Below are 13,171 nucleotides of genomic sequence, written 5' to 3'. Positions count from 1 at the left end.
TACAGGCGTGAGCCACTGCGTCCAGCCCACTTTGTCTTTTAACAACTCATGTTGTTATTGATACTTTTCTGCATGCAGAATTCTTTTTGTAATTGAATTTATCATTTTCTTTTTTGATTTTTGGGTTTGAGTCATAATTAGAACAGCCCTCTCTACTCCATGGTGATAAAGGAATTGTTTCATGGTTGGATTTTTAAATCCAGAATGCTTGTTGGATTTGTCACTTTCCTCTCCAACACCTGTAGAGCTGACACTATGACTTTTCTTCTTAAATCTATGAATATGACGAATTATATTAATGGATTTCCTAATGCTGAACCACCCTTTCATTGGATGAAAGGGAGGCCGAGGCGGGGTGGCCGAGGCCAGGTGATCTGCCCGCCTCAGCCTCCCAAAGTGCTGGGATTATAGGCATGAACCACCGTGCCTGGCCTATTTATTAGTCTTTTATGTAGAGGTTTTCATTAATCTTTACATGTGAGATTGGGCTGTAGTTTCCTTTCTTTTCTGGCAAAATCTCTACTCACTCCTAGAATGAAAGGATGGTTCAATATTAGGAAATCCATTAATATAATTCATCATATTCATAGATTTAAGTAGAGTTACACAGCCACACACAGAGCTGGACAGATTGTATTATTTCTTTATTGTACTGCTAGGTACATTATTAATTTTTGTTTATTAATTTTTTCTTTTTTTTTTTTGGTAGTTTCTGGGAAGTCAGGTTTTAACCAGAGTCTCACCTCTGAGCTTCATTTCCTCAGATGGGTCCAATTGTCATGTGATCATGGGCAGGGGTTTGTTCTCATTCTTTCGTGTGTCTCCATCATCATATGCCCGTTTGGACTTTGACTGGCTGCAAGAATCAGAGTGTCTGAAAATTGGTGGAGTTACACAGCCACCCGCAGAACTGTCCTGCAGGTCCTGCTCAATGCAGGTGAGCTGAGGCTGGACTTGCCCCGAGCTCCAGTGATGGGGGTTCATTCCTTGCTATTTGGCTTCTGCTTATTTCCTTTCATTTTACGAGGAAGAGATCCCCAAGCCTTCTTTTCTGGTGCCTTCTGACACCTCATACTGCAAGTACTCCAGGACTTCTCTGGCTTCAGGAACTCAAAGGGTCTACTGGGAGCAAGACAGAATTAGTGTTGGGGACTTAGCACCCACAGAGTAGCCTCCACTCAGTGACTGTCGGGACCTGGTGGGTCAATACCCCAGCTCCCTGGCCCAAGTTGCTCACAACAGTAACTTGCTTGATGCCACACCCGTTGTTGACTTTCTTCCATTCCCCATCTCATTTCCCCTACCAGTGCCTCCTGGGATCGCCTCCCAAATAAATGACTTACATTCAAATCTTTATTTCATATTGGCTTTGGAGGGGACCCAACTTAACGCAGGGTTCCCAACCCTCTTTGGTGGGGTGCGACAGCTGGTTAGTGGCAGCCCTGCAATGACAAGCCTGCCCCCTGCTGATCACTGGCACCACCCCCCGCCCCGGTCATGCTCAGGACAATTGCACGGGTGGGTGTCTGGTGGGGTAGTGAGGCTCAGAGAAGTTAAATGGCTTCTCCAAGCGCAACGGCAAATGCACTTAGTTCTGAAAATTGTTTCCCAGCAATTTCCTTCCACCTAACAGATACACATCTGAAAGTTGTGAAAGAATTCATCATCGTGTCAGCTCCACAAACATGTATTAAAGGTGTACAAGGTTCCAGGCCCCATGCTGGGCCCTGGAGACCCAAGGTGAACCAGCAAGGAGGTTCGTCCAGTGGGGAGACGGATGTAAAAACCACTGCATCAGGGCTGATCATGCAATATCAGCCAACCCAACACACCACAAGACAAAGGCCAGAAACATAACTAGGAAGTACAGAGAAGAAAGAGCTGAGAGAAAGCACCGGTTTGAAAGGGTGTGGGGAGGTGAGGATGGGTGTTCCGGGAGCAAGAACAGCACATGCAAAGGCCCCAAGGCCAGACCAGGAAAGATGGGGGAGGAGGGTCTGATTACTAGGAGAATGTCTCAGGTGGATGAAAATGTAAGGTGGGCTCAGATGAGACAGGGCTACAGAGAGGAGAACCAGGAAGAGGCTTTTCCTGGCCTGAACGGGGCACAGACTGTGGAGATGGTGAGGAGAATGTGAATTCAATACATTTTAAAGAGGTGGGGAACAGGCACAGTGGCTCACGCCTGTAATCCCAGCACTTTGGGAGGCCAAGGCAGGCAGATCTCTTGAGGCCAGGAGTTCAAGACCAGCCTGGCCAACATGGTGAAACCCCATCTCTACTAAAAATACAAAAATTAGCTGGGCATGGTAGCACTCGCCTGTCCCAGCTACTTGGGAGGCTGTGGCAGGAGAATTGCTTGAATCTGGGAAGTGGAGGTTGCAGTGAGCCCTGATCGTGCCACTGCACTCCAGCCCAGAGGTGGATGGGCAGGGACTGCCTAGAGTGCCTCATGGTCCTAGCAAAGTCTCACCGGCTCTTGTGGCGATCTCAATGGCATGCACAGAGTTCCAGAACTTCAGAGCATCTCTTTTTGGTAAGGGGGCAGCATCCTGACCTCCACCCGCCGAAGCACACGCCTGTCCTGGTCACATGCTGGATTAACCTGTAAGCCTATTAACTATGGCTCAGCATCCTTCGCTACCTTGAAAGGAGCCCCAGAGCTCCCTGGTTAGGGAGACAGTTCCCAGCATGGTCCCGAGGATGGCCACATCTGACCTGGCCCTGAGCCACTGTCATGGGCAGCAGGGCATGACTCTCCAGTTGCCTGGAGACTTTACCTTGACCCTGAGTGACCTGAGAGAGCCAAGCCCGATGGCAGCAGTGACTGCTGCTGAGTCATCTGGCCCCCAAGACACCCAAGGGTCCCTGGGCACCCACCCTGTGTTAGCTTCCTGCGGAGGTCTCACTCAGTGCTCACGAGGACCCTACTACAAGCTCTGAAGCCCCAGGGCTGTGTGGACGGCTACAGAACATCATCTGACCCAGGCCTCCCCCAAGAACAGAGCCAATCCCCAAAATTCTGAAGAGAGGTCTTCCCTGACCAAGTCCACAGCTGCTGGGTTGTGTCCTGTCCAGGCAAAGCCACCTCCCAGCACTTTTCCTCTGGAGCAGCATGAAGGGCAGTGGGGGACCTGCAGCCCAGGCTGACCTGCAAACCGGCCTCCAGCCTGCCCCTGGGCCTGGGGTTGGGACAGGGCCTCTTTCAGAGGCCTCCGGAGCAGCAGTTCCTGGTGGGTTCCCACAGGTGCCCCCAGCACCCACAGGACAGCATCAGGACATGGCAGGAAGCTGGGGCTTCCCTCTACCCTTGCTACTCAAAGTGTGGTCCATGGACCAGCAGCATCAATGTCACTTGTGAGTTCTTTAGAAAGGCAGAATCTCAGATCCCAACCCAGACCTCCAGAATCAGAATCTGCATTTACTAAGAGCCCCAAGTGATCTGTGTGCCCACTGAAGTTTAAGACGCCCTGGCCTTGACCATTCTCCACAGCCACGACTATTCCACACCTTCTATCTCCTCGGAAGGGGTTTCCAAGAGGGACTTTATGTTTATTTCCATGGCAGCCTCTCCGTCGAAATATAAGCTCCTTGCAGATGGGAACGCATATCACTAAACCCCTTGGTGCCTGAGCCCTGCCTGCACACTGGAGGTGCCTACTCAGTGCTTGCTGAATAAGCGAGGGGATGTGTGTCACCATGCAGGCTGGCAGCGCGCCATGGCCAAGTCCATTCCTATCCTCTGCATCATCAGGCAATGGAGCAAGGAACGGAGTGGCACGTGAGAGCAAACAGACGTGCCGCCCCTGCCACAGCGCACTAGGATTTGTTCTTTGCGCAGACAACTGGAGAGGCAGAAGCCTGGGGGCATACGTTCTCCCCAGCCCCCCTTCCCACTCTTCCTGACATATGCGCCCTTGCCCTGGCGGCAGGTAGACTTCAGACCCTTCTCTTCATTGGTCTCAACCTAGCTACAGACTGAGTTCACTCAGCCACTTCTTTGCCAACTAAGGATCCTGCCCTTAAGGAACCTACTGGGTGACATCGCCCAAGAGGTGCAAGAACCCGAAGCTCTGGGTCACACAGGTCTCCTGGGTCAAACAGCTCTCTGTTTTCCCAGGGACATGGAGGGGCTCACGGTTCAGGATGGCTAGTGGGGCACTCATTTACCTCCTCCAACCAAATCCAAGTGGATCCAGAAAGGAAATAGTTTGGCAGTCCCAGAGCAGCATGGGAAAGGTGAGAAATGGAAAACTAGGGAAAGAATCTGCATAAGACATAAAGATCATGGGACAGATGGACAATGAAACCTCAGACCAAGGGACCTGCACCACATGCAGGAGGGAAAGGAGGCCCAAACACCTGAGCCTTCCTAGGAGGACAGCACTAGGTGAGAGGCTGCAGTGTGGGCACAGGCCAAGAACATCTGGGTAATTAACAGCATCAGGGTGAGCAGATTGACTGTGCCCCACCCTCCCTCCACCAAACACCACTTGGCATTGAATTCCATGTTTGCCTGGAGGTCAAGGTGCAAGAACAGCTAAATGGAGTTCTGAAACTGCATGGTAGGCCAGAGAAAAAGGGCAGCACCCCAGGCAACTTAAGGATCCCATGGGGAAGCAGAACCCTTTACTCAGAAAATCAGATCCACCAGTGCCTCCTGGCCACAGGCCTCTTTCACTTGCCCACACGTCACAATCACTGTAGACAGGGTTCTCCAGCACAAAGCTTTCATGCATGGCTAAGCCAACAGGAATTCCCACTTAGCCTGAGGAAGGACATTCTAGGAAACAATTTTGTCCATATCCCTCCCCCCACCATCTTCAAATATGAAGAGGCAACAAAGAAACACTAAAAATGCAAGAATCCAATGCACCAAAAGAGAGACACCAAACTCAACAAACAAAAGAACCAACACAGGAGGACGATGAAGTAATGCAGTAAACAGAAGAAAAAGGTAAAACCGCTGTAGTTTCTATTTCCAGGGAAATTTGAGAGGACATCAATTTTTTAAAAGAAATAGGTTCCCGAGAAAAGGAAATCTTTTCAGTTTTGGAAATTGTCAACTTGATGGGCAAATTCTGAAACCACTAATTAATAGATTGAATAATGAGGGGAATACAGTGACCTGGAAGTTCATGACAAAGGAGTTTCCTGGAACCCAGTGCAAAAGCACAAAGAGTTGAAAAGGAAGAAAAGAAAGGACCTCTGAGCTGAAGAAGATGGAAACGTTTAGACTGCAACATCCCAGTAGCTTTGGGTAGCAAGGATGAAAAATTGGCACATGCCTGGTGAAATGTCTAAACTCCAAGAATGGAGGTAGGTTTGTACATTAAATGTCCACCATAACTCTTGCAATTTATAGGTTACCTTGGCCTTCATTCATCTTTTTCCTTCCCTTCCCTTCCCTTTCCTCTCTCTCTCTCTTTCTTCCTTCCTTCCTTTCTTTCTCTCTTTCTTTTTCTCTTTTTTCTTTCTTTTTCTTTTCTTTTTTCTTTCTTTCCCCTCCCTTCCTTTCTCTCTCTTTCTTTCTTTTTCTTTCTTTCTCTCTTTTTTCTCTTTCTTTTCTTTTTTCTTTCTTTCCCCTCCCTTCCTTTCTCTCTCTTTCTTTCCCCTCCTTTCCTTTTCTTTCTTTCTTTCTTTCCTTTCTTTCTTTCTTTCCCCTCCCTTCCTTTCTCTCTCTTTCTTTCTTTCTTTCTTTCTTCTTTCTTCCTTTCTTTCTTTCTGACAGGGTCTTACTCTGTTGCCCAGGCTGGAGTGCAGTGGTGCCATCATGGCTCACTGCAGCCTCAAACTCCTGGGTTCAAGCAATCCTCCTGCCTCAGCCTCCCTAGTAGCTGGGACTACAGATGCAGCCACCATGCCCAGCTAATTAAAAAAAAAAAATAATAGAGATTGGGTCTTACTATGTTTCCCACGCTGGTCTGCAACTCCTGGGCTCAAGTAATCCTCTCTCCTTGGCCTCCCAAAGTGCTAGGATTGCAGGTGTGAGCCACTGTGCCCAGTCTCATTCATTATTTCAATCAGCAGATCTTTATTGACAGCCTGAGAGCTCTGCCAATTCCTATGCAGGTAAAGGAGAATAAAATAGACATAGACCCTGACTTCAAAAGCCCCATCTAACCGGGGAACAGATGAGAAAACAGGCAACTGTACAGTGGCCGAAACACTGGCACAGAGTCCAGCTCTGCCTGTTACCAGCTCAGTAACTTCGGGCAAGTGACTGACCCTCTCTGTGCCTCACTTTCCTTCCATGTAAAATGTATAATAGTAGTTCCTGTCTCGTAGGTCGTTTTGAAGGTGTAAGTAGAGCACTTAGGACAGTGACTACACACAGTAAAAGGAAGCACTAAATAAGAATTGGATAAATATGGAAAGACCGTGGTAAATGTTAACCACCAGGGATGTGGGAGTGTAACAGCAGTGCCTGACCCTCCTCGAGGGGTCCAGAGAGCTGCCCGGCCGGGCTTGGGCATCATCGTGCTGTAAGGAGCTTCCAGACCCGGGTTCACTTGAGCGGCCGCTGCCGCCTCCCCGGGCCCGGGGCCTCCGCTGTCCGCCCGGTGCATGTGAAGGACATCAGGCTGCTGCCCCGGGCCCTCGGCTTGTCGATTCCTGTCCGGGTAATGCTGACAAGGACTGCGGTGTCACCAGGGCCCGGAGGAAGCTGTCCCAGCACGCCAGGGATTTCACAAGCGATTAGGTATTTCTGCTCATCCACACCCTGATTTCTTCTTAGCATATCACCCTTTCTCAGCCCCCAACGCCTCAGGCCAGGGCCAATTGGTGGGCGGGGAGGGCCCTGACAGATGAAAATGACGGGGTGTGGGGGCTGCTGTGTCCTTCTGGAAGGGCGGCAGGGGAGGTGGCCGTGAGGTGGGCTGGGACAAGGGGGTTCGGGCCATGCTCCCTTCTTGGGGTCTGCCCTCAGGGACACGGGGGGTGGGGAGCAGAAGTGCCACCTCTGCATGGGGGTCCTGGAGGCAGGGAGATTTGAATCTAGGTTTCTATGAGGCCCTAGGAGGACAGACACAATGTTCACTCAATGATTCTCTTCTTCCCTTGAAGGATTCTTTTACGGAAGCAGGAGCGGGGAGAGCCACAGTGATGCCATTTTAAATTCGGCTCCATTTCGACACAAACAGGGACATTCTTTGCCGGTCGTGACTCAGTCATAAGATAATTACATCTAGGGACACAGCCTGAAGATACCTGCAAGGACATGCTCCTACAACAGCAGAAAGTCCAGATGTCCCAATGCCCATAACAATATATGCTTTCAAAAAATTATAGTTATGCTTTGATGTACTCACACACGAAGATGTCAAGGATAGCTTTCTTAAATAAATAGAATAATTATTGTTGTCATGCTGTCAGCCCAGCCACACGTAGGCACAGCTTAGTTTAGTCTTTACACAGATAAGACCCCTGTATAAGAGAAACTTAAGGACGGGGCGGTCCTCTGCTTGCTTTCTGAGGGTGCTCTACTCTGGAATGGAGGAGGGGTTTTTTTGTTTGTTTTTGTTTTTGTTTTTTGTTTTTTGTGTTTTTTTGAGACAGAGTCTCACTCTGTCGCCCAGGCTGGAGTGCAGTGGCACGACCTCTGCCCACTGCAACCTCTGCCTCCAAGGTTCAAGTGATTCTCCTGCCTCAGCTTCCTGAGTAGTTGGGATTACAAGCACGCGAGCCACTAGCCCAGCTAATTTTTGTATTTTTAGTAGAAATGGGGTCTCACCATGTTGGCCAGGCTGGTCTTGAACTCCTGAACTCAAGTGATCCACCCGCCTCGGCCTCCCAAAGTTCTGCGATTACAGGTGTGAGCCACCACGCCAGGCTGGGAATGGAGGAGTTTTAATAAACTTGCTTCTTTCACTGCACTCTGTGACTTGCCTTGAATTCCTTCCTGTGTGAGATCCAAGAACCCTTGCTTAGGGTCTTGATCAAGACCCCTTTTCTATTATAGTCACAGTTCCACTTCCTGACTTCCTCCTGCTTCTAGAACGATGAATATGGAAGGCAGATGCTCCTCTTGAGGGGTTGGACATGTGGTCGGGAGACCTGCAGCCAGGGCGGCATAGGGACTGGCAGCCAATGAACCCAAGTGCCAGACGGGTCCCATCGTGCATAGGATGACCTGACACCTCTGGCCACTGAGGCCTTGGGTCAGTGACTTTGGCCCCTAGGCAGGGCACCCTGCAGAGTAGGGGCCTCCAGCTGTTCACAACGCGGGCAGAACAGAACCTGGAGCCGAGGGGACAGCTTGACCCCAGAGCCTTTTGGGAGACTGAGGACAGGACGTCCCAGCCCAGCAGGACCCGGGCACCTCTGGGCTCTCTCTGTCGCCACCAGGGAGCCCTCTCCCTTGGAACTTTGTCCCTAGGACCTTGTCTTCTCGTTTCTTCATCATCGACCCTTTCCCTAGGACCTTGCTCACCGTCCTCTGAGTCCTGGGTAGTGTCAGTTCCAGGCAGAAGGAGAAAATCCCCCAGGCTGGCCATGCCCAGGAGGATGGGGTCAGTGATGGGAGGGAGTGGGGTGAAATGTTCTTTAGGGGTCCTCAGATCTTCAGAACCGGGGGTGAGTTTATATCTGACCCCTCCTCTGCCACTGTCCTGAAAGGAGGGTGGGTGCCTTCTCCAAATGCCCGGTCCTGGAGGGAAGCCTGGTGGCGCCTGTTATCACATTTAGTGACCAACACTCCCCTAACTCTGCCCTGGAAGGACAATAACAGTCACACTTCGTGCTTCAGCTTCCCTGGCCTGGGGACACCAGTCACAGCAGCGGCCACCCTAGTCTCAGGAGAGGATTTCCACCCCCAAGGATGTTGAGTCTCCCTCGGTGCCCACACAGCAGGGGCCCTGGTGGAGGCTGCGGCCCCCATGGCAGCAAATGACAAAACAACTCTAAGAGGCTCCAAGGCACCAGCACCAGGCAGGGCCAGGCCTGTGTTTCCTGCAGGGCACACGTTGAAAAGGTGACCCAGGGACACAACCGCAGCACCGACAATTGCCCTGCAGGGCGTAAGGGCTGAGACGCTGGGACCCCGGTGGGAGCTCATAGCACAGACCCTGGGCCAGGCAGCCACGTTCAAACCCTGGCTCTGCCACTCACCGGCTGGGCAGACTCAGAGCAGCTTGCTAAGCTTACTGTGCCTCAGTTTCCTAATCTGTAAGATGGGAACATTGGACTGATGGCATAGTTGTGAGGATGAAGTGAGGCCACATCAGAAAAGCACTTAGGGGAGTACCCGGCCACAAAGGAAGTGCCATGTGTATGCTTAATCAACTCACATCTGTTCTGGGGTTCCCAAATCCTCCAGGCCACCATAGCCTGAGAACAAGACACAGTCACAAAATAATGCATCCCTGACCCAGCAGGTGATCCTTGTCTTGCCTCAGAGCAGCATTTTCCAAACCTGTGTCATTTACATACCTTTGTGACTCCTGCCATATCTTCAGATCACATGTACTATTATCTAATTCATGGTTTTCTCTCGGCGAACTGACTTCTAAATCATTTATGTGCCCCAGAATGTCTACAGCAACGACCACAACTGGAAAACCAGGATCACTCGCCACAAATAGAAGAAAACTGTAAAAATATCCTGTGCAAATGAAACAAATGTGACAGTTCTGGCTGGGTACCTTCGCCTGCCAAGGGAGCTGAGCTGAGGCCAGCATTCTTTGTTTTTAAGAATAAGGCATTGCTAGTCCCAGGAGGCAGATTCTCCTGCTCGAGTGACTTAAGGGGGCTGAAAGAAAATTGCAAAGGGGGCCAGGCATGATGGCTCACACCTGTAATCCCCCCACTTTGGGAGGCCGAGGTGGCAGGATTGCTTGAGCCGAGGAGTTCAAGACCAGCCTGGGCGACATAGCAAGACCTCATCTCAAAAAAAAAGAAAAAAAGAAAGAAAGAAAATTGAAAAGAGACTAAGCATCCTGCTGTGTGAAGGCACATTGAACTCCTCTTCTACCGCTGCTCAGAGGATCCCTGCCCCACAGGGCTATGTGGGGAACCCAGTCTGTCAGTAAAGAACGTTTGCTGAGCCCACTGCAGCCAGGCCCTGGGTCAGGCCACACCTCACCTGATGAGGGCAGGGCTTTTACCCAGAGGAGAGGCCGGGGCAGATGGGGGCTTCCTGGGGGCCTCTGGCTACAGGCCCAGCCTCCTGCTGCCTCTGGTTGGGGGAGGGGACATCTGGGCTCTGGACTTGGTAAAATAGAGCTGGGTCCCTGCCCTGTAGTTCTGGGCACTGAAGGGTATGATGTCTCCCAGGGCGAAGGGCAGTGCCAGGCTCTGCCCCACCCTGCTCCTCCTGTCGCCTCAGGTCCTCTGTCAGGATAGGGCAGACCCCCAGACGCCCAGACCCCCACGACATCCTGAGGCTTCTCTCCACCTCTGCATAGCCCCCCGCCCCCCTCTGGCTCCGCCAGCGTGGCTTCACGATCCACCCACCCACCAAGCAGAAGGGGCTGTGTGGATGGTTTTGTGGAATCTAAGAAAACCAACAGGTGCAGAATAAATAATGGAGCCAGGACTTGAACCCAGATAGTAGGAATCCAGGGTCCAGTGATCTGGAAAGCAACTCGAAAAGGTGGGTGAGACTGAGGACCCCTGGGGCACTGGCCGCCCCGCCCTCCCTGCACACCTTACGTGGGTGCCAGGTGGTGACAAGCACACCAGCTCCACCAGGTGCAGGTAGAGGCTGCCGCAGTGACATAGGGCAGGCATGCCAGGTCCCGCTTCACCCGCAGCAGGTGGCCATTTCGCCACACAGCCTGCAGGGCCCAGCGAGGGTGACCCTGTGCTGGGGGCATGCTGAGGACGGCCGGGTGCCCCAGGACTGTGTCCCAAGGCAAGCCCAGGGCAGTGAGGATAGTGACAGTGAAGGGACAAAGGGCAGATCACACAAGAAAACGGAACCCCTCACTGCCTGCCATAACCAGCACAGGAAGCCACAGCCTCCACAGCAACGTCCCAGATGGCCAGGACTTGGCCAGCAACTGCCAGTTTCCTTAATTTTGGTCACAGTTTTTAATTTAGGATCAACTAAAGAAAGCCGGCCAGGCGCGGTGGCTCACACCTATAATCCCAGCACTTTGGGAAGCTGAGGCCAGCAGATCACAAGGTCAGGAGATCGAGACCATCCTGGCTAACATAGTGAAACCCCGTCTCTACTAAAAATACAAAAATTAGCTGGGCGTGGTGGTGTGTGCCTGTAGTCCCAGTTACTCAGGAGGCTGAAGTAGAAGAATCGCTTGAACCTGGGAGGCAGACATTGCAGTGAGCCGAGATTGTGCCACCGCACTCCAGCCTGGGTGACAGAACAGGACTCTGTTTCAGAAAAAAAAAAAAAAAGAAAGAAAAAGAAAAGAAAAGCAAGCAAGCAAGCAATCAAGCCAACCTGCTCCCTAACCAGACTCCCAAGAGGCCCTACAGCTTCCCCATGTGCCAGCCCCAATCAGGGCACAGCCAAGCCCGCCACCTTTCCCACTATCTGGCGTCCTCACTCCCTGGCCACCTTTGAGTCACTGCCAAACAAGTGACAGTGATTAACTCCCTGGATCTAGCAAATTCTGAACAAACAGCCTTGCTTGTTCTCATTTGGTTGGTCTTTTCTTATTTTCATGATAGTAAAAATAACAACAAACTTCTTGTGTATAGTGAGAGCCTCATAAATAAAGTTAACTTCTACCGGGGCTTTTACATGATGCAAACTTTATGATTGATACCAAACTTAATCCTTATTTACACATGAGAAAACTAAGGCTCATAGAGGTTAAGAAATTCACCGAGGTGTCCAGGCACAGTAACTCATGCCTGTAATCCTAGCACTCTGGGAGGCCGAGGAGGGAGGATTGCTTGAAGCCCAGGAGACCAGCCTGGGCAACATAGCATGACTTCACCTCTACTAAAAATAATTAAAAAAAAAAAAGCATAGCTAGGCATGGTGGCACATGCCTGTAGTCCTAGCTTGAGGTGGGAGGATGGCTTGGACCCCAGGAGTCTGCGGCTGCAGTGAGCTATGATCACACCACTGCACTCCAGCCTGGGCAACGCAGTGAGACCCTGTCTCAAAAAGAAAAGAAAAGAAATTTGCCAAGGTCACATAGCCAATGAATGATGGAGCCAGGACTTGAACCCAGACAGTTGGATTCCAGGGTCCTTGTCTTAAGGCCTTGTTATGCGACCTCCTTGCTAACTGTCCTATGGTGAGTATAAGCTGAGAGAAGTTTTCAGAAAGAACTTGAATTTTGGCTTTATGCACTTACCTGTGATTTGAATTGTTTTTTCCCAAAAAGCACATCCAATTGTCGTTGCAAAACCTCTGTCCCTGAGCTTCTGTTCCATGGCCACCTGATGCAGCCAGGAAGGTGCATGGCCTCCAGGGAGGTGCTAGGTTGGCCACGATCAAAGGAAAGGGACCAGGGCTTGGGAGAACTGACATCTAAACCACTCATTCCATGCACACAGTACTTCTGCCCATTTCTTGAGATCTTCTTGGATTTCTTTCATCTGTATTTTATAGTTTCACCATATAGAACCTGCACATATTTTGTTAGATTTATGCCCAAGTATTTCAGTTTTTGGAATTAATAGCCCTTTAAATTTTTAGTTTTCAATTGTTTATTGCTAGTATAGAAATGCAATTGACTTTTGTGTGTTGACCTTGTATCTATGATCTTGCTAAACCCTTAAGTTCCGGGAAGGTTTTTATTTGTTTGTTTTGTAAGTTCTTGGGATTTTCTACAGAAACAATCATTTTGGATAAAAATAGAGACAGTTGATGAGTCACACTCATCATGGTCCTTCAGGTCTCCCCACACAATCCTCATCCCTGGGAGCAGGCAGAATGCCGGGGGCTAACCCTACACTCTCATTCATTGATTCATTCATTCATGCAGCAGACATTTCCCGAGTGCATGCTGTGTGGCAGGCCCCGGGATACGACACAAAGCCCTGCCTCATGGAGCCGTCATTCCTGCAGCAGAAAAGAGGCAACAAGGAATGAATACTCAAAGATGGAATCGAGGGTGGGGACGACAGAGCAGAAGGGATCAAGAGGGGCTGGCGGTGCCTGACCAACATGGTGAAACCCCATCTCTACTAAAATACAAAAATTAGCTGGGCATGGTGGTGCACACTTGTAGTCTCAGCTACTCAGGAGGCT

The 13,171-nt window shown here is 50.5% G+C and overlaps 1 annotated feature.

The window, feature by feature from the left end:
- Nucleotides 9,037–9,575: an enhancer, noted in NCBI's record as "H3K4me1 hESC enhancer chr11:64307456-64307994 (GRCh37/hg19 assembly coordinates)". NCBI's record gives its function as "activates a minimal SCP1, AML or CMV promoter by ChIP-STARR-seq in primed H9 embryonic stem cells {active_cell/tissue: H9 hESC(primed)}" and the evidence as "EXISTENCE:reporter gene assay evidence [ECO:0000049][PMID:30033119]".

This window comes from Homo sapiens, chromosome 11 (genome assembly GCF_000001405.40).
Source record: "Homo sapiens chromosome 11, GRCh38.p14 Primary Assembly".
Lineage (NCBI taxonomy): Eukaryota > Metazoa > Chordata > Mammalia > Primates > Hominidae > Homo > Homo sapiens.
Note: the sequence above shows the minus strand (reverse complement) of the source record. Positions and strands in the feature narration are given on the sequence as shown.